We start from the raw sequence: 21,138 nt of genomic DNA on the forward strand, positions 1-21,138 counted from the left end.
TCCCTGGGATTTCACCCTCAGTTTTCTCTTGTCTTACTCTATATATTGCTTGCTGATTCATATTTCTCTCATTGTACCAAGTACTCCTAGACTGGCATCTCCAGACTATATCTGAGACCCTCTTGAGCTGTCATGAGTAAAGGTGATAAGTTCATCTCCTTTTGGTTCCTTCCTATTTTCTACAACAGAAGGGAGGACTAATAATAATTTTTTTGATGGTTATAATTTTGTAACTTTTTTAATTTAATTTTTGTGGGTACATAGTAGGTATACATGAGATGTTTTGACACAAGCATGCAATGTGTAATAATCACATCATGGAGAATAAGGTACCCATCCCCTTGAGCATTTATCCTTTGTGTTACAAATAATCCAATTATATTCTTTCAGTTATTTCAAAATGTACAAATAAATTATTATTGACTATAGTTACCCTGTTGTGCAATAAAATAGTAGGTATTATTCATTCTTTCTATTTTACTTTTGGTGCCCATTAATCATCCCCACCTCTCTTACCACCCCTCACTCCCCTTCCCAGCCTCTGGTAACCATCCTTCTACTGTCTATCTCCATGAGTGCAATTGTTTTGATTTTTAGATCCCACAAATAAGTGAGAACATGCAATGTCTATCTGTCTGTGCCTGGCTTATTTCACTTAACATAATGATCTCTAGTTCCATCCATGTTGTTGCAAATGAGAGGATCTCATTCTTTTTATGGCTGAATAGTAATTGTGTATAAGTACCACATTTTCTTTACCCATTCAACTGCTGATAGACACTTAGGTTGTTTCCAAGCCTGGGCTATTGTGAACAGTGCTGCAACAAACATGGGAGTGCAGGTATCTCTGTGTAAAATACTGATTCCCTTCTTTGGGGTAAATACTCAGCTGTGGGATTGCTGGATCACATGGTAGCTCTATTTTTTGAGGAGCCTCCAAACTGTTCTCCCTAGTGGTTGTACTAATTCATGTTCCCACCAATAGTGTAAGATGGTTTCCTTTTCTCTACATCCTCGCCAGCATTTGCTATTGCCTGTCTTTTGGATAAAAGCCATTTTAATTGAGGTGACATATCCCATTGTAGTTTTGATTATGTATCTCTGATGATCAATGATGTTGAGTACCTTTTCATATGTCTGTCTGCCATTTGTATGTCTTCCTTCAAAAAATGTCTATTCAAATCTTTGGCCCATTTAAAAATCAGATTAGACTTTTCCCTATAGAGTTGTTTGAACTCCTTATATTTTCTGGTTATTAATCCCTTGTCAGATGGGCAGTCTGCAAATGTTTTCTCCCATTTTGTGGGTTGTCTCTTCATTTTAGGGATTGTCTCCTTTGCTGTTCAGAAGCTTGTTAACTTGATGTGATCCCATTTGTCCATTTTCGCTTTGGTTGTCTGTGCTTGTGGAGTTACCACTTGCCATTTTTTTCTAGACCAATGTCCTGGAGATTTTCCCCAATCAGTTCTTGTAGGAGCTTCATAGTTAGAGGTTTTAGATTTAAGTCTTTAATTCATTTTGATTTGATTTTTGTATATGGTGAAAGATAGGGATCTAGTTTCATTCTTCTGCATACGGATATCCAGTTTTCCCAGCAACACTTACTGAAGAAACTGTCTTTCCTCCAGTGTGTGTTCTTGGCAGCTTTGTTGAAAATGAGTTCACTGTAGGTATGTGAATTTGTTTCTGGGTTCTCTATTCTATTCCATTGGTCTATGTGTCTGTTTTTTTGCCAGTACCATGCTGTTTTGGTTAGTATAGCTCTGTAGTATAATTTGAAGTGGGTAATGTGATTCCTCAAGTTTTGTTCTTTTTGCTTGGGATAGCTTTGGTTATTCTGGGTCTTTTGTGATTCCATATAAATTTTAGAATTGTTCTATTTCTGTGAAGAATGTCATTGGTATTTTGACAGGGAATGCATTGAATCTATAGATTTGGGTAGTATGGACATTTTAACAATATTAATTCTTCCAATCCATGAGCATGGAATATCTTTCCATTTTCTGGTGCCTTCTTTAGTTTTTTTCATCAGTGTCTTATAGTTTTCATTACAGAGATCTTTCACTTTTTTAGTTAAATTAATTCCTAGGCATTTAATTTTATTTGTGGCTACTATAAATGGGATTACTTTTTAAAAAATTATTTTCCAGGTCGGGCATGGTGGCTCACACCTGCAATCCCAGTACTTTGGGAGGCGGAGGGAGGCGGATCACTGGAAGCCAGGAATTCAATACCAGCCTGGCTGACATGGTGAAATCCTATCTCTACTAAAAATACAAAAATTAGCTGGGCATAGTGGTGCACGCCTGTAGTCCCAGCTACTGAGGAGGCTGAGGCAGGAGAATTGTTTGAACCTGGGAGGTGGAGGTTGCAGTGAGCCAAGATCGCACCACTGCACTCACTGCACTCACTCCAGCCCGGGCGACAGAGCGAGACTGTCTCTCAAAAAAAAAAAAAAAAAAAAAAAAAAAAAAAAAAAACACAACAAGAATTATTTCCCAGATTGTTCACTGTTGACATATAGAAATGCTACTGATTTTTGTATGCTGATTTTGTATCCTGCAACTTTACTGAATTTATCAGTTGTAATAGTTGTTGTTTTTTTTTTTTTTTGGTGAAGTCTTTAGGTTTTTCCAAATATGAGATCATATCATGAGCAAACAAGGATAATTTGACTTCCTGGGAGGAGGGATAATTAACGGGCACCTTAAATCTCTAAAACCTTGGTAAAGTGCTTTGTTTTATAAAATAGATAATAGTTAGAATTTTGTGTTTTGTCTATGGATGTCTACACATTATTTTAGACCCTGGAAATACAGGTGCCACAGCTGACATTTTATTTGCTAAATTTCAACAATAACCATCATCAAACAGTGAAAAATGAACAGGAATAAATAGCATGGGAACATTAAGTGGCCAAAGGGTATGAGAAAAATGTTAGGAAATTCTTGTTATCTGTGCAATTAGAAACAAAATAAACCAAAGAATTGAATTAATGACAAGAAGTGATATATATTGAACTAAAATATGTTAGCATCTAGTCATTTCTATTTCTAAAATATCATAGTAAAGGGAAGAAAAGCCATTGTATTCAACTGCTCAGAAATCTGACTGTGAGTACTCCAGCATCTACCTACCTTTGACTATGGACTTCTGAAGACTATAGTACTAGCACTAGCAGGGAACAACATTCAAAGAACCTTGGACTGGGCAACCAGCCTTGCGATTAAATGCTTCTTGCTCAATGTTCATCTAATACCTTTGGGTTCCAAGATCTCAACACATTCTTAGCATTTGGTCTCAGCAAAAGATCAGATAATCATTTGCTTCTCAGCGTAGATTTCAGTTAGTGGGTTTGATTTCCTCATCTAGTACTATTTGCCTCTTAAATCAAATGTCCAAAAAGAAATAAGGACAGGGCAAAAGGCAATATGCAAAAGGCACCAGAAGCTACTATGCGGGGGTTTCCTTTTTGCTGTAGTCTCAGAAATGGCAGGGAGGGGTCAGAAGTTTTTGCCCTATTAGGAAGTAAGGCAGAATTCCCCACAGTGATGTCACAGACAAGACTTAGTTAAGGAGGGGCTAGAAAGTAATAAAAGAATGGAATGATATGTTTTCTCCCCTGACAACCCACACCGTTCTCTTAGAGGCAGGGAAAAGAGAAAGAAGGTGGAAGTTGGAGAAAGAATGGTAGAGTATTAGGCAAAGAAAATAAAAGTCTTCCCTCATAGAAGAAGAAAGCATCATTCTAGTAACTCCCCATCCCTACCCTATCTCAAGTGCAGCTAATGGTGAGAAGTAGAAAATGTTTTGTCAATAAATGAATCACAAATGAGTTCCTCTCTATATTCCGTAAGACACATTCTGTGTAGATCCTGTAATTAAGGAGTTCCAAACTTAGCTAAGAAGCCATGTACATTTTTAAAATATAAAGCAGCACAAATACAGCATTAAGTCAGAAGTAATATTAGGAGTTTAGAGGCATGAACAACTGCTGTAGCTCAGAGTGGTTTGAGAAAGCTTTGTAAGCAAAAGACCCGAGGCCAGGCCAGGTCAGTATGAAGGCCTGGACTACATTATCCTTCCTAGTTCATCTTCTTTCTTTGGCTCAGTCAGCAAGGAACTTCTAAACATATAAAAACAATACACCATCAAATGTCTTACAAAAGTACTCCATAAAGTATAAAATGTTAAGTATGTTACCTGACTCTTCAGGAGAGCAGGATGAAGTGAATTATCTGTTACCATCACCATCATAAGAGCATTGAATGTTCAATGTTCAATTCAATGCCAGACACTGCACTGTTGGCTGGATAACATAATGCCTATTCATAATCCCTTTTCCTTGTTTGTCCTTAATTAGAGAGTCTAGGCAAACAGAATGTTTACTTTCCTGGTAACTGGAGGTATCCACATGTCACAGTTCTGAATAATAAGACATAAGTAGAAATCTTTTGGAGGTTCCTGGGAAAGCTTTTGCTTCTCTTGCTACCATGAGGCTGAAAGCCCACACACTAGATGGCTGGCTGGGAAGACAGAAGAAGCATGCTTGATTGCAACACTGACTGTCTACACCAAAGGCAGGAACTGCTTATTCTAGACTTCTTGTAATGTGAGAAAAATCAACTATTTAACACACTATGCGCTTTCTCTTACATAAACTGAAAATATTCCTGAGATAAATGCTTACCATGTGCGTGGCCAAGGTTATAAAGTAGGTAGGTGACAAAAACAGAATTCAATCCCATTTCTGACAGACCCAAAGCCCTGACCTTAACCAATACACTAACAAGGATACACACAGTGTCAAAAAAACCAGATATCTTAATGACCAGTACTGTGGTTGTTCTGGTTTGAAGGACCAGTCATCCCATGATTGTCACAGCCATTCTCCTCATAAAACTTTACATTCTGGGAACACCTTAATAATATGCTCCAAAAACAATGACTCCAAATTTCACTGGGTTTTAGACTAAGGGCAACGAGACTGAATTTACTGATTCATACATACTGGTCATCTTCTCCTGATTCCCTGTACACCCCCACATTTTTTTTTTTGAGACAGAATCTCACTCCGTTGCCCAGGCTGGAGTGCAGTGGCGTCATCTCAGCTCACTACAACCTCCGCCTCCCAGGTTCAAGCAATTTTTGTGCGTCAACCTCCCGAGTAACTGGGATTATAGGCATGTGTCACCACACCCAGCTAATTTTTTTTTTATTTTTAGTAGAGATAGGGATTTGCCATGTTGGCCAGGCTGGTCTTGAACTCCTGGCCTCAACTGATCTACCTGTCTCGGCCTCCCAAAGTGCTGAGATTACAGGCATGAGCCACTGTGACAGGCCCTGATTCCTTTCATGACAAATCTATGACACTCTTCTTTCATTTTGAATTTCTTTCACACTTGAAATCCAGAAAAATATAACATTTGCCTAGCCAAACTTGCCCTGTTCTCTTTTCTTTTTTTGCACCCATTTGGGGTTTCAAGATGGTCACAAGTCAGTCCTGCCCTTGTTTTTCATACAATAGACAAGTGTCATTTCAACAGACTAAGCATCTGATAACACTTAAAAAATAAATAGCAGACTATATCTGGAGAGCCGCTTATGCCCTACAATACAACAAATTGGAAGATCATTCAGTAATATTTCAAAGCCCCACACAACACTGAGCTGATGGTGGCAGTGATCAACTGTTGACAGCTGTTAAGGTTCTCATGAAATGCACTCCTCATCTGTGGTTATGACTGGCCATTACATAGGAGGATTAATGGGGCTGCTTTTGACTGTCATGGAAAGTGTAAGATATGTTCTTTATGTAGATCCCTAAGAGCAAACATCCCCTCTACAGAGCTGATAGGTCACCTGCCTCAACCAATTAGCTAATTGTCTGAAATCACTCCTCATAGATCACGGAAAACTGACTTGTGAATAAACTCTGTTCATACAGAAAGCAAGAGCCTTTTGTTTCCTTTTGAAGACCTTATTCAACTCTAAGGCCCCTTCCAACCACAAAATTCTAAATTCTACAAATGTGAACAATCAGCTCCAATGAATGAATCCTTCCAGCTTTATGGCAAATGAGTGCTTTTTTGACTACGGGTTGTTTTTCTTTTTAAAGAGAAAATTGTTTTTTAAATGTAGCTTCCTGACTGCACCAGGTGTGAAATGGTAAATAAAAGAACAAGCAGTTGTGTTGACCATCTTTGGTTGTTTCCTTCAAAGCTTACCAGACTGATGTCATTCTGGATGTTTTCTATTCTGCTTACCAAGCTCGGTTTTCCTAGAAAAAGTCTGTAGAATGACTGCCCTAATCCTAATCAAAACATACCATCATATTCTAAAAGCTCAGGGCTATCTGGGAGATTGGTAGCTAGCTCTCACTGAATAAAGAGGAGTGAGTAGCCCCTTTTTCGTGGATAATTCTAGGAACTGGCAAGACAGTCTTTCTCTTTGGCCTCCTGGATGAACAAAGATGGGCTGAGAATCAATGATGTTGCCCTAAGTGACAAGATGCCTTTATTCACACTGTGCATACACCCTCTCATGGACCCTTATTTTTCTGCTCCCAAATATAGTATTTTGTTCAGATTTCTACCCTTTCCTGTGTCATTCCTCCTATCACTTTGAAATCTTTCTTCAAAAGTCTAAAATTCCACAAATGAAGATGAACAAAGGGAAAGCTTATATCTGTCTCATCTGGGAACCCTGGAAAAGCTACACTGCTTATGTGAAGAGGAAAAAAAAAAAAAAAAGATGGGCAGGAGTTTAGTAAGACTGGGGGAAGAGAGAAAAGGAAACTCCCCAGGAAAGGAAGAAAACAAAGTATTTACCACGTGACAGATACCACCATGATAAGTACTTACACATAAATTCTCATCTGTACCTCACAACCTCACAACAGATGACCCTAGGAAAGGGTGTATCTCTCAAAGCCTTTAACCAGTTTAAGAAATTTGCCCAAGGTAAATCTAGGTCTCAAACCCAGATCTGGCTCAAAATCATCTCTTTCCTCATCACAATGGTGATCAGCCGCATGGAAGCAGGAAGGGATAAGCCTCATTTAAGGAACAGTAAACCTCCCTCCCACCTCCCTACTACCATGCCCAAGATATTTTTCATCTTCAGCAACATTCAAAGATGCTCTTTCTTGATGCCTATAAAATGAAGTCAAGTTCATGTGCCTGGCATTAAAGGTGACTCCAGTTCAGCTAGAAGCTCCTGATTATATCTACTATCTTACTTTACCCTGTACCCCATGACTTTATTCTTGAGTCTATGGTTTCACATCTCTCATCCAATAAAGGAAGCACATGCTTTTATTGGATATATTCATTTATTCATTCAACATTTATTGAATGCCTATTATGTGTCATTTCTTCAATACACTTTTATTGAGCAATTGCTATGCTCTAGGCATATTGGTAATATTGGTAAATGGTAAATATCGGAGAATGACAACGAGATATATTTAGGGAATAAGTATAGAATACTAAATGCTGGTGTGACAGGAGATACCAATGTAATCCTCTTGAATAATCATTGCCTTTAGATGTGCTGAGCTGAATCACTAGTAGACCCTGGGATTAAGGCTTAGGTATAGTTTAAGTTCAATTCAAATATGTCATCAAATTGAGATGATGAAAGAAGCAACCATAATGATCCTGCACTAGGGTCATCAGCTCCAGGACTGCCAATGGTTTCTTAAAAGATATCATTTAATGCCTATCCTCACGAATCTCATCAAGTAGTCAACAATTTCACTTTGGTTACACCTAATGTCACTCTTGGGGTCTTGTTTAAATGGTGACTCCTAAAGAACAAATATTCAGAACCTGCTAGGTACTTGCCCGCCATACTCTTTGTTTCCCAAAACTCACCTTTTCATGATGATACCAAAGGTCTAATTCCCTCACTTGTCTCTCTATTGCTAGCCTCGCCTTTGTCTCAGTTACTCCTCTCTTCAGGGATCTTCTTCATCCCACCACTTCTCAAAATTTCTGATCCAAGTTATCATCTGAATGGCTAAGTGCAATGTTTAAAAATGCCTCAGAATCTCCACCAGCCTGTGTGGAAGGGAGACAAAGGCCAGTGTGTGTTGTGTTCCCCTCCCTATGGACAACAAACTGTGCCTAATGAATTCTGGCCAGAGCCAAAACAATGAAATTATTTATCTCCACCTCCCCTATTGATGCACAGCAGAAATAAATATAAGGATCACCACCTTCTGTGCAAATGCAAATAAGTATACTCGCAGAAACAAAAATTTCAACCTACAATTTCAGTTTTCCTCACCTTTTGCTTACACTCTAGTGAATGCTATCAACGGATCTGCCCTGAACCTACCCTCTGTGCCTCTTCTCAAGATCATTCTCACATCGCATTATTCCCAGCCTTACTCTCTGTTGAAATTAAACTCCTTCTTCAAGGCTTACCTTAAATGCCACCTCCTCTAGGCTGTTGTCCTTGATCTTTAAAATACAATATAAACCCTCCCTCCTCTAAACCCCTTCAACACTTTGCACTTTTTTTTTTTTTTTTTTTTTTTGAGACGGAGTCTCGCTTTGTCGCCCAGGCTGGAGTGCAGTGGCACATCTCGGCTCACTACAAGCTCCGCCTCCCGGTTTCACGCCATTCTTCTGCCTCAGTCTCCCGAGTAGCTGGGACTACAGGTGCCCGCCAGCACGCCTGGCGAATTTTTTGTATTTCTAGTAGAGACGGGGTTTCACCATGTTAGCCAGGATGGTCTCCATCTCCTGACCTCGTGATCCGCCGGCCTCGGCCTCCCAAAGTGCTGGGATTACAGGTGTGAACCACCGCGCCTGGCCTGCACTTCTTGTTAGATATCACAAAAAGACTTGTGTGGTAGCTTCTTTTTTTTGTAAATTGGTTTTGAGGCCCAGGTTCACATCATTTAGACATCCTCCATAGTTCCTAGTACAGAACATGTATTTAGTACAAGTAGGAGGCTCTTAAGCACTTGCTGAAATAATAAAATACTACTTTCAATGAGCTTTTCCATACATTACTTCAGGGTATGATTATCCCAGTTTTACAAATAAAAGAGGCCCAGAAAAGTTTAGTGATTCAGAAAAGAGGCCAAATTTTCCACAGAAGCTGAGATACAAGACCCACATAAGGGGTTCAGATGTGAATGTAGGTACCCTTGAGTAACTGCTCCCACCTTTTATTGAATAACCCACTAAGAATATAAATTAGTTACTTTTTTGAGGAATCAACTTGTCAATATCTATATCAAGAGTCAAGAAATTCATAATCTGAACAGTTTATCTATTTCTAGAAAACCACCATGAGAAAATATCTAGAGATGTAGACTGACTTACACATGAAGATAACCACTGCACTGTTGTTAAAAATAGTGATGAGATGAGTAAAATCTTCTGCTTCCCCGTTGATAGACTGAAAATTCATTTTCCTCCCAAACCCCAAAGAAGTGGCAATGTAGTACAAGAAGGAATAATGTAATTAGGGGAGGGAAGGAGAGAGGGAGAGAGGGAGGGAGGGAGGGGGAGGGAGGAGAGGGAGACAGAAGGAGGGAGAGGGAGAAGGAGAGGGAGAGAGGAATAAGGGCAAAAAGACAGACTAGAAATTTTTAACTATTTTCAAAAGATGGAAATAGATGGGATTATATTGGTAAATGTACATTATTGTAGACATACTACAATGCTGATGTATCATAATCCACCCAAAGAAGCCAGGTTCAGGACCATGGGGAAAGGCTGTATGCGGCAGCCACTGCTGCTTCTTGGGAATTACAGCAGCACTGTCAAATACAAATGTAGCGTGAGGCACATATGTGATTTTAAAATTTATAGTGGCCACATTTAAAATGTAAAAAGAAACAGGTGAAATTAATTTTAATATATTTTAGCCTAATATTTCTAAAATATTATTTCAATATATAATCAATATAAAAATAGTATACATATTTATCTTTACTTTTGTACTAAGTCTTTAAAATCTAGTGTGTATTTGATACTTGCAGCACATCTCAATTCAAATAAGCCAGATTTCAAGTACTCAACAGACCAGGTAGCCAGAAGGTACCATACTGAATAGCACAGAATTAGACAACAAGGAGAGTAACGGCAGGAAGAGGAGGAGAAATCAAGGTGATGAGTTGAAGGACTGTCTATAGAACAGCTAGGCAAAACATTTTAGATATGCAAGGAGTTACAAAGTTTAACTCCTGTGTACTCTTTCTGAACAAATTACCAGGGATGATTTACAGCAAAATTAAAAAGGGTTTTAAGAAGTAGGATGACATGGCATGTGAGAAAGATTTAACTCAGGATTTCAATGAAGGCCTTGAAATTAGAACAGGAACTCTGAGGACTTAGAGAAAAATGTGTCAAGATGAAAGTCATTTTCCTATAACAAACAGTATGATTAAGAAGCTAAGTGATCTTAGTCATAAGGTAATGGCAGATGCTGTTTTTCTTCAATCAGGAAAAAAATCTCCAATTAAGATAAAAAAGGCAATTAAAAATTCCAAGGTAAACAAAAAGCAAAGACAAGGTATAAATGCAAAGGAAAGACAATGTGGCAAGTGACGGAAAGAGAATCTATTTGATCTTGATGTTTGGAATATTCTCTTTTAAATATTGCAGGCTTAATATCATCAAACTTTATTTTTGTCCTATGGGTCAAATTATGAAACTCAGCTATGCTGTGAATATTTACATGACTATAGTGTTGCAAAGAATATTCATTGTTTAATTCTTAGAATCAATCACAAACAAAACCTAAGATATTTCATAGATCTAACTGTAAATGTTATTCATCTACACAGTGAACACTTCTAAGAGAAAAAAAAATTAATTCCTTCATCTTACTTGTTGGACAGTCAAAATATCCTGTATACAGTTATAGAGGGAAAAACAGAATTTTAGGCATAAGACAAGTTTGCCTAAAGGCTTTAATGATTCAACAATATCCTGTTTTTTTTGAAAATCTAGGAAGACAAAGGGTCTAATGTCTTGGTGGCACAAAAGTGGTTTAATGAGTGAGTCACACTGCAGCCATTAAATTATCCTCAAATTTTATAATAAGCATTGTTAAGCTTATAACATTAAGTGAAATAAACTGTACCCAGGCTGGGTGCTGTGGCACACGCCTGTAATCCTGGCACAGGAGGGAGGGAGGGAGGCGGGTGAATCACTTGAGCTTAGGAGTTCAAGACCAGCCCGCGCAACATGGCAAAACCCCGTCTCTACTAAAAATACAAAAATTAGCTAGGTGTGGTGGCACGCACCTATAGTCCCAGCTACTTCGAAGCTGAGGTAGGAGGATTCCTTGAGCTCAGGAGGCAGAGGTTGCAGTGAGTAGAGTATCGCACCATTGACTCCAGCCTGAGCAATGGGAATGAAATCCTGTCTCAAAAACAAAAAACTGTACCCAAAATTGTAGAGACAATATGAAGACTGGGCAAATAGATGAAACTAGAGCTATATTTATCTGTTAGAGTTATATAATCACCTGGCTTTAGAAAGGCAATCCTGCGAAGGTTTAGGAATTTAGTTGAGAAGACAAAAGTGGTAAAAGGAAGTCAGGTGTAAGTGCTTCTAGTTGGTACTAACTCTGATCTGTCTCTCTGTAGCTAACTCCTGTTCCTCAACACACACATTTTGTAATTCATTAAATATTCAAAGGTTCAGATTCTCAAGGCTACCTGAATAATTTAGGGTGGTCTCAGCACCATTAAACTGTGCAGAATAGTCAAGGGAGAGGCTTCTTAGAAGAACTACGCCTTGAGCTGCATCTCAAAGAATGTACCAGTTTGAAAATGTTAATTTGAGAGTCCACAGAATTTTTAGTAGGCAAAAAGGAGGCAGAGGCCAGCAGCCCAGACTGAAATGCAAAGAAAATTCTCATGGAACAGAGGAAAATGATGCCAGCTGGAAGGCACGGTAACCAGAAGATAGTGGGAGACACCGACTGTCCTCATCCTACCAGCTGACACAAAGATTGGTGTTTCTCAGGGCTCTGTTTCCCAAGACAGAGGTATAACTCTCCCAAATTTGTTATCAGAGTTTCCCAGTCTCTCCTACCAATTTATATTTGATCCTCTCCGTATTAGACAGATAAACTGTCTTTTCTCCTCCACTCTTTTCCTAAGTCTCACTGTTGCCCATGAGATAAATTTCTCACTAGCAAATAATTGCATCACAGAGAACAGAGTTTGCTTACAGAGACCCAGGACAATCAACTCGACAGCTGTAAAAAATTAAAAATAACTTTAAAAATAACAGGCAGAATGACTACAATTCTTCACCCTTCATGTCTGGACTTTGAAATCAAACTGCCCGGATTAGCCAAAGTGAAAGGAATAAATCTGTTAAGGCACCTTAAATAGGGCTCCATATTCAAAACATACCCTTTATAAGCTTCCAACACCCCCTTATTCAGACTTTTTATGAGTATCATCTCACATCCTTACTCTTCAGAAAGAGATCTAATAAAAGAACAGGAGGAAATAATATAAGCACACACATGTGCCAGAAACTGAGTAACAAACCCATAAAGTACTTGTTATTCCCATTTTACAGAATAGGAAATCGAACTTCATAGAGACTGGGTGATTTGCTAGCTATGTAAATACTGGAGCTGGGATTCAAATGTAGGTACTTCTCACTTTAAAGCTCCATATTCTTCCCACCTACATCATGCTGCCTGAGAAGAGAAGAGAAGAGAAGAGAAAGGAGAATTTACCAAATCTACATTAATGAGAAGCAAGAACAGAGAGGTATGGGCTGTTCTGTTTACATCCCCTCCATATATATATATATATATATATATATATATATATATATATATATATAATTTTTTTTTTTTTTAGGAAAAGAAACAAAATATTCCTGCTAGGTAAGACTCAGAGACTCTTTCAAGATGACAAAAGTGAATAGCCTCAAATAGACCTTTCTTTTTAGAGGGGGGCATTAAGTATCAGAGCCAGGGGAGCTCTCTCATGATTCTGTCATGGCTCAAGGAAAATTTTAAGAAAAATACTGTTTACCTAGTATGACCAGAGCATCTAAGAGAATCCAGAAGGAGTGGTGAGGCAGAGAAAGGGAGGGAAAGCAGACTGACTCACTATTTGTTTTCCAAAAATAAAAAATCAAACCAAACATAGCAGGAATGAACCATCCAACTGGGTGATCTAAGGATTAACTGTCCATGTGGCCAAACGTTTAATTTAATCTTTCTGATGGACCAGCTATAAAAGAGAAGAAGAGCTCAGTATAAGACTCCTTATCAAGAGGGCACCAAAAAAAGTTGTATTTAAAGCTTTTGAGATACAGACCTAAGCAAATGGCTTGATATGAAACCCCTGGTTCTAGTTTCCAACATGCTTGCTGTGGCCAACTTCATAAGGTTGGGTTTGGAGATATGAATGTCCTCCGAGTGTCAACTACCATCTCACATTTTTATATCCTCCTCATAGGGTACAGCTGGGCGTTTTTATATGGGTCCAAACTGACATTGAAAACAATGCCAACATAATAAGGTAGAAAGAACATGGGCTTTGGAGTTGGGCAATCATGGACTTGAGCCTTGGTTGTACGATTTGAACAAGTTAATACTTCTGAGACTTCTTTTCTTCATCATTAAAATAAGGATAATTATCTTAGAACATTTATTTCTTGAGAAATAAAGTTCCTGATACATAATAGACACTTACCTAAAAGATAATCCCCATGTTAACCCTTGCTTCACACCATATACAAACATTAACTTGAACTGGATTATAGACCTAAATGTAAAAGCTAAAACATCTCCTACAAGAAAACATAGGAGAAAAATCTTTGTGACCTTTAAGTAAACAAAAAGCATAAATCATAAAAGAAAAACTGAAAACTAAGCTTCATCAAAATTCAAAGCTTTTGTTCCTCAAATGATACAATTAAGAGAAGGAAAGGGCATGACACAAACTGGGAGAACATACAGTTGAACCTTGAACAACATGGGGGTTAGGGGATGGCTCCCTCCCATGCAGTCAAAAATCCATGTACAACTTTTGACTCCCCTGAAACTTAACTACTATAAACAGTGGAATAACACATACTTAGTATGTTATATATTATATATTGCATTTTTACAGTAAAGATAGAGAAAAAAATCATAAGGAAGATTAAAATGTATTTAGTATTGATTAAGTGGAAGTGGATCATCATAAAGGTCTTTATCTTCATCTTGACATTGAGTAGGCTGAGGAGAAAGAGGAAAAGAAGAGGTTAGACTTGCTGTCTCAGCAGTGACAGAAGCAGAAGAGGTAGAAGGGGAGGAAGGGGAGGCAGGAGAGGCAAGCACACTCAGTGTCACTTTTACTGAAAAGAATCCAAGTATAAATGGACCCATGCAGTTCAAGCCCATTTTGTTCAAGGATCAGTTGTATTCACATGTTTTCACAGATTGAAGGAAATGTTTAATATATTTCTATCTTACAAAGAACTGGTATCCAGATCATAAAAGGAACTTGTACAACTCAGTAAGAAGATAAATGACACAATTTTTTAAATGGGCAAAAGATTTGAACAGATACTAGACAAAAGAAGATAGTATACAAAATGCCAGTTGGCACATGGTGCTCAACATCACTAGACATCAGGGAAACAAATGAAAACCACAATGAATACCATGACCTATAAACCCATTAGAATGACTAAAATTAAAAAGGCTGATCACACTAAGTGCTTCTGAGATTGTAAAGCAACTGGAAATCACATACACTGTTGATAGGAAAGTAAAACAATACAGTTTGGAAGTTTCTCAAAAAGTTTAACACGTATCTACCATATGACTGAGCCATTCAACTGCTGGGTATACCTGGGAGAAATGAAAATGTATGCTCCACAGAAAGATTTCCAAGTGAATGTTCATATCAGCTTTATTTAAAAGAGCCAGAAACAAGAAAGAACCCAATGTCCATCAATAGGTGGTATATCCACACAATGGAATACTACTCAGCAATAACATGGATACATGCAACAACATGGACACATCCAGAAATCACTATGCTGAGTGAAATAAGCTGCACAAAAAGTGTACATACTGTACTCCTATAAAATGCAAACTAATTTAGAGTGACAAAGAACAGAGGAGTGCTTGCCTGGGGCTAAGGGCAAAGGAAGGGAAAGACTGCAAAGGGGCAAGAGGAATCTTTTGGGGATGATGCCAATGTTCTACATCTTCAATGTAGTACTTGTTTCATGAGTACGGACAGACACCTATGAGACTCATTAAATGTACACAGATATAGTTCACTGTGTGTAAATTATCCTTTGAAGTTGATAAGGAAAAAAGTAATTTCCTTTGCCACTCCTGCTGCCACTGGAAACAAGTTAGCAAGCTACTACCTCCCATATCTCACGATCACTGGGAAAACAGGAAGCTGTATAGAAGTTGGTGAGAAAATGAGTGGTATTGCAAAAAACATTTGATTATTAATGAGGTGTCTGGTACTAAGTTACAAATCATCTTACTTAATTCTAACACTTTTGATGAGGTAGGCACTATTATCTCTATTACAGATGAGACAACAGGCTCAGAAAGTTTAAAGAACTCATTGAAAGTCACCCCGATGGTAAATGGTAGATTTGGATTCAACAATGTATGCTGGCATCAGACCAGATAAACTTACCTTCGAATGCTATTATTCCCTACAGTGCTTAGGGCATCCTCAGAAAGGAAAAGCCCTGATAGCCTAGGGACAAGAAGAGCTGCTAGAGATTTCCTTCATCAGGACTGAGAAATCCTCTCAAGTCAGGGAGTTTTTTTTCTTTTAAAAAATTTTTTTTAAGTCGGTGAGTTTTAGCAGCCTTTTTCAAAGCAGCTTGGGAGAGTGGGAGGTGGGGTACACCTCTGCTTCTGGAGCAGAGGAGAATCCTCTCACTTGGCTCCAGCATTTGCTGGTATTTTGTTAACTTTTGGCTCCTCCATGTTCACCCACCCACTGGTTTCCCAGAGTAAAAATGCCAAAATATCTTGGCTGAACAGGCGAATGGATCACAGATGACAGAGGTAAAAAAAAGAAAAAAAGAAAAAAAAAAGAAAGACAATCAAGAGGTTCTGTAATATGCTTCTTTTTAAAGGTAAAAGCAAATTGCACACGTCCTCATTCTTATTCTCTTTGAGTTGGCTGTCTTGTGAAACATTCTGTTGTCTATATTTTCATTCATCACATTGAAAAAAAAGTTAGGCAAATGGGTCATGCTGAAAGTTTAAGTAAATTTACCGTCTTCCTATTTCAGACCAGCTGTAGTCCATCTCCCCTGAAGCCTGGCCAACAGATCAAGGAGAACATGGCTTGAGCTGCAAAAACAGACCAGAGAGAGAAACCCTGGGAAACTAGGCTCTAGCGGGTAGCTCAGGAGGGGAACCCACACTGCAGAGGAAAAGTAAAGAGGCCTGGGTGCCGGGATTAACTCTAATCATCCGTGAGACTCTGGCAAGACATGCTCTCCCTCAGAACCTCCAAAGACTGGAGTGATCAGGTTTTTCAACTTTTAACAAAGGCCCAGCGTTTCTAACCAAATATAATCTCCCTAAACCCTCAGTTTCTCATGCACTTCCTCTTTGAGGATTGCTCTGCTGCCTGTTTATTCCTCAGAAACCAAGTTTCACTTTCTGAAATCTGTTATAAAGCCAGGCGACTTTTCATTGTTACACTATAAATTATGATACCAAATAAAAACTTCTAAAAAGTATATACAAGGATAATCTGAAATTCAGCCATAAGCCTGAGTGTGTGTCATTGAGAGTTAGGAACTAAATGCTCTAAAACAAACTGTGATGTTTTCTGGTTGTTCCTCATTTCCATTCCTGACTTAGCCTGAACTGCAATTTTACTAAAGCTCCTTTGCTTCCCCTTCACACACGTTAAGAATTCACCACAGGAACATGTGCTTTTGTGCTCATTGAACTAAAGCCTCCTCCCCAAACTATGCTCTGCCAAGTTGTTTCCGGTAAGCAACTTTGGAAAATAAAAATTCCCTAGACATTTTGAACAGTGGTTTGAGAGGAAGACACACAACCCGACAGGGGAACTGAAACATTCCCCCTTGTGTCCACTTCTGTCCTGGGAGGATGGGGGAAGGAAGTCGTGGAAGAAGCTTTTTAGAGGAAACAGACTCGCAGGACTTTTGCTGCAAACAATTGGGTACTGTATCCAGCTGTTGACCGAGGCAACTGTCAGCTCAAAACCATGCAGAGAACAAGGGAGCCAGAGTTCCTTCTCCTAAAATACGACAGGACTACACTTCTGTTTCACATGTCATAGCCTAGTACCTGTATTCTAGCCCTTGAGCCCATTCTCAGTATTAGAAGGGGCCTTCGGCATCATTTACCCAGTGGCCTTTTTTTTTTTTAATAAGTGGAATTATTTATTTCTACATACAAGATTTCGTATAGAAGCATAACATAGAAGTAAAAGCAGAACTGCTCTAGGGGGCAGGGGATGCAGGCAGAGAGCTCTGCCAGCTGAGCTACTGTCATCCCTTTCATCAGGCACCTCTCTGGATTCCCAGGTGGCCCTGGGTCTTTGTTTATAAGGTCTTTGTTGATTCTCAGCCTGGGATTCATGGTACTTGTGGAGAGTACAGATGAACACACAAATGACCATGCCCTTCATTTGATTCAGTAGAGGGGTGGTATGAGCTTTCGTTCTCACATCTTCTCCTTCAATAATCTCATTAACTCCCAGTGCTTCATTTACCATTTCTACGTGAAATAGTCTCACATTGTACATTTTTAGACACTATCTCCCTACTGAAAGCCAAGCATCTAAAGCATACTGCTGGGAGAAGACAAGCAGGGAGCTAGGTAAGTAGATAGGGAACTGGAAGTCTGGCAGCAGAATTCCAAGTGTTTGGTCCCCAAATCCAGGACCAGGACTCTAATTCCAAGGAGACTGGTGAGAGAAAAGAATAATGGGAGTCTTTAAAGAATCAAAGTACAAAAACTTGTACTTTGACAGGGACTTGACCAAAAGGAACCAAGCAAGAGCCAATTCTAAAAAGAATTGGGGGGCCAGGTCGAGCGCAGTGGCTCACACCTGTAATACCAGCACTTTGGGAGGCCGAAGTGGAAGGATCACTTGAGGTCAGGAGTTCAAGACCAGCTGGGCAGCACGGTGAAACCCCGCCTCTACTAAAAATACAAAAAATTAGCCAAGTGTGGTGGTGGGCACCTTTAATCCCAGATACTTGGGAGGCTGAGGCAGGAGAATCACTTGAATCCGGGAGGCGGAGGCTGCAGTAAGCCGAGATGGCGCCATTGCACTCCAGCCTGGGCAACAGGACTGAGACTCCGTCTCAAACAAACAAACAAAAACACACAACCACACAAAACAACTGGGGGCCAAAGTCAGACGGGGACTAGCTTTAAGGCTGACTTGATGCCGACTCCCAGAAGCCTGGATCAGGCTCTTAAATCTCATACCACGTCATCCCCGTTACATGCAGGATGACTTCACAGAACCCGTCATAAGGCACTAGAGGACAGAGCTCAGCAGGGCTTCACAGCTCGGCGTGTCTGTGCCCTGCTTGCCTAGCAAGTTGAAAGCATGTGATAAGCTGAAAGGATGCAGACCAGACACTCCTAACACTTTTTGGGTCACTCACTGAGAGACCAAATAGCCATTTCTCCCTTCACCCTTGTTACAGAATTCATATTTTGTTCAGAGGACTGGTGGAGATCTGATGTTATCAGGGAAGGTAAATCCCCTCCCTTTGCCCCAGGGGCTGAATCAAAAGCAATTATACAAATCCCATTCCTCATTGATGGGAATGATCTAGAGGTGGGCATGTGACCTATTGCTAGCCAAAAAAAACATAAGGGGTTTTCTGAGGGAAAGTGCCTGATTTTCCTGGTGACATGCTTGAGCCACTGAAAGAATGCTGAAACTTCCAGCCTCTTACTTTGCTAAATGAATATCAAAGTCCTTGTGATTTAAGTCACTATTAGTCAGATTCTCTGTTAACTGCAGCTAAAAGTTCTCCTGACCTGCTGACCCACTTGATAATCAGATTAAAACTGTGAGTCCTATATCCTGCAACCTCTATTATATGGGTACATAGAGTATTTTGCCTATAATTTTTTAAGGTTCACAGACTTCAGATCAAGAATCCTTATGCAAGACCAGTAGTCCTCAAAAAGTGGTCCCCATACCAGCAGCATGAGCATCATCTAGGAGCTTGTTACACGTGTATCTTCTCCAGCCCTACCCCAGATCTACTGAATCACAATCTCTGGGAATGGGAGCCAGGAGTGGTGGCATGCACCTGTAATCCCAGCACTTTGGGAGGCTGAGGTGGGCGGATCACTTGAGATCAGGAGTTGCAGACCAGCCTGGCCAACATGGTGAAACCTCGTCTGTACTAAAAACACAAAAATTAGCTGGGCATGGTGGTGTGTACCTGTAATCCCAGCTACTCGGGAGGCTGAGGCAGGAGAATCACTTGAACCCAGAAAGCGGAGGTTGCAGTGAGCCAAGATTGTGCCATTGCACTCCAGCCTGGGTAAAAGAGTGAGACTTTGTCTCAAATAAAAAGAAACACTGGGAGAAACTGGGGATGGGGCCCAACAATGTATATTTTACAGACTAATGATACGATTCATGATAAAATCTGAGGACCACTGCTTTGAGCCCAGCATTATTCAATAGAACTTCCTGTGATAATAGAAATGTTTACATCTGTGCTGTCCAGTATGGTTTCCACTAGCAACATATGTCTACTGAGCACTTGTGGCTAGTACAACTCAGAAACTGAATTTTTAATTTTACTTGGTTTTAATTTATTAAAATTTAAATAACTGCCTATGGCTAATGACTACTGTATTGGACAGTGCAGCTCTAGATAACTTGGTTTTATTAAAATTTAAATAACTGCCTATGGCTAATGACTACTGTATTGGACAGTGCAGCTCTAGATAAACATAAGGTATTTTATATTATCAGATAACTCCTGGTACTGAACTACAAAATAAAGAAGTGGTTCTCAAACTTCAGTATGCATCAGAATCACCGGAAAGCTTGGTAAAACACAGACTGAAGGCTCCCAGCCTAGAATTTGTGATTCAGTAGCTCTGGCTTGGGGGCCTGAGAATTTGCATTTCTCAGGGGATCTTACGTGATGTTGGTGCTGTTGGTCCAGGGATGGCACTTTGAGAACTACTGAAATAAGGAAAACTTGCTGTCTTCCTATAACCTGTACCTTGGGCCCAGCAGGTGCTTATTATTGAAAGAATGATGGCTACCCTCTAATAAAGGAACACTTTTGGAAGTGTCTACTGTGTTCCAGAGACCATGATTACCTCCTCATAATCATCAGGTGGCAGGCTGTACGTTTTGAAAGAGATTCACAGAAAGGTTTGCTCAAGGCACTCAAGTCTTATTGCTTACTTCTCTGTATTTTAAAGTATTAATTCATAAATTGTTTAGATCTAGGCAAGTTTGTGAAAGAATATGTGATACTAGTACAGACCATATGTACTGTACTGTATCATATCATATGTATTGTATCATATATGACATATATATTATATATATATACATACAGAATTGCTGAAAACTAAAATGTTCAAGAGTTAAAAAGGCTTTTGACACTGCAATGGTGGCATGAACGACAACAGGACTGGTCATCTGGAGTGGGGGCTAGGCTTTCTCTAACACCACAAAGGAAATCATCTATGCCAAAGACCTGGTCTGGACAGCAATACAGCTTTCAAGCATTAATGGGAAAGGCAAGAATCAAGGACAAACACACAGGGGACTTTTCTGAAGGTCAAAAAAGCAACAATAAATACCAAACCCAGAAAAGCTTTTAAATCTGACCTTTTCCTGTGCTGAAGCCATTCGCCTTCCAGCATCTTCAATCTAATAGACTGAAGTGGGCTGAAATGGCTCTTAGGAGAGAACTGGGGCTAGTCTTTTCCTTAATGCTGCCTCTTCACCACTACTCAAGCAGCAGCAGCATTACTGGTAATTACATCATTATACCATAATGGAACACATGCGGTGCAAGTGAAACAGCCTGGCGGCTCCCCAGTTGAGGAGAGAAGAAAAGGACTCCACTTTCACTGTTCAATTTCTATTAACTCTCTAGGTTCTGGCTTATTTTC

At 39.5% G+C, this 21,138-nt stretch overlaps 1 protein-coding gene across 3 annotated transcripts in view; it reads right to left on the reverse strand.

Moving 5' to 3' along the window:
• The window catches only part of GAB2 (GRB2 associated binding protein 2), a 202,528-nt gene that overhangs the window by 118,590 nt on the left and 62,800 nt on the right, over positions 1 to 21,138 (reverse strand). The window contains exon 1 of one of the 3 annotated variants that reach the window (XM_024448782.2): positions 20,852 to 20,974. The exons of 1 other annotated variant lie outside the window; for it this stretch is intronic. In XM_024448782.2, the coding sequence (XP_024304550.1) occupies positions 20,852 to 20,872 (21 nt within the window). In that variant the 5' untranslated portion in view covers positions 20,873 to 20,974. Of the gene's footprint in view, positions 1 to 7,877; positions 8,038 to 20,851; positions 20,975 to 21,138 lie in introns of those variants that run through there. One more of the 3 variants, NM_012296.4, reaches the window with a different exon arrangement.

Source organism: Homo sapiens, chromosome 11 (genome assembly GCF_000001405.40).
Source record: "Homo sapiens chromosome 11, GRCh38.p14 Primary Assembly".
Classification (NCBI taxonomy): Eukaryota; Metazoa; Chordata; class Mammalia; order Primates; family Hominidae; genus Homo; species Homo sapiens.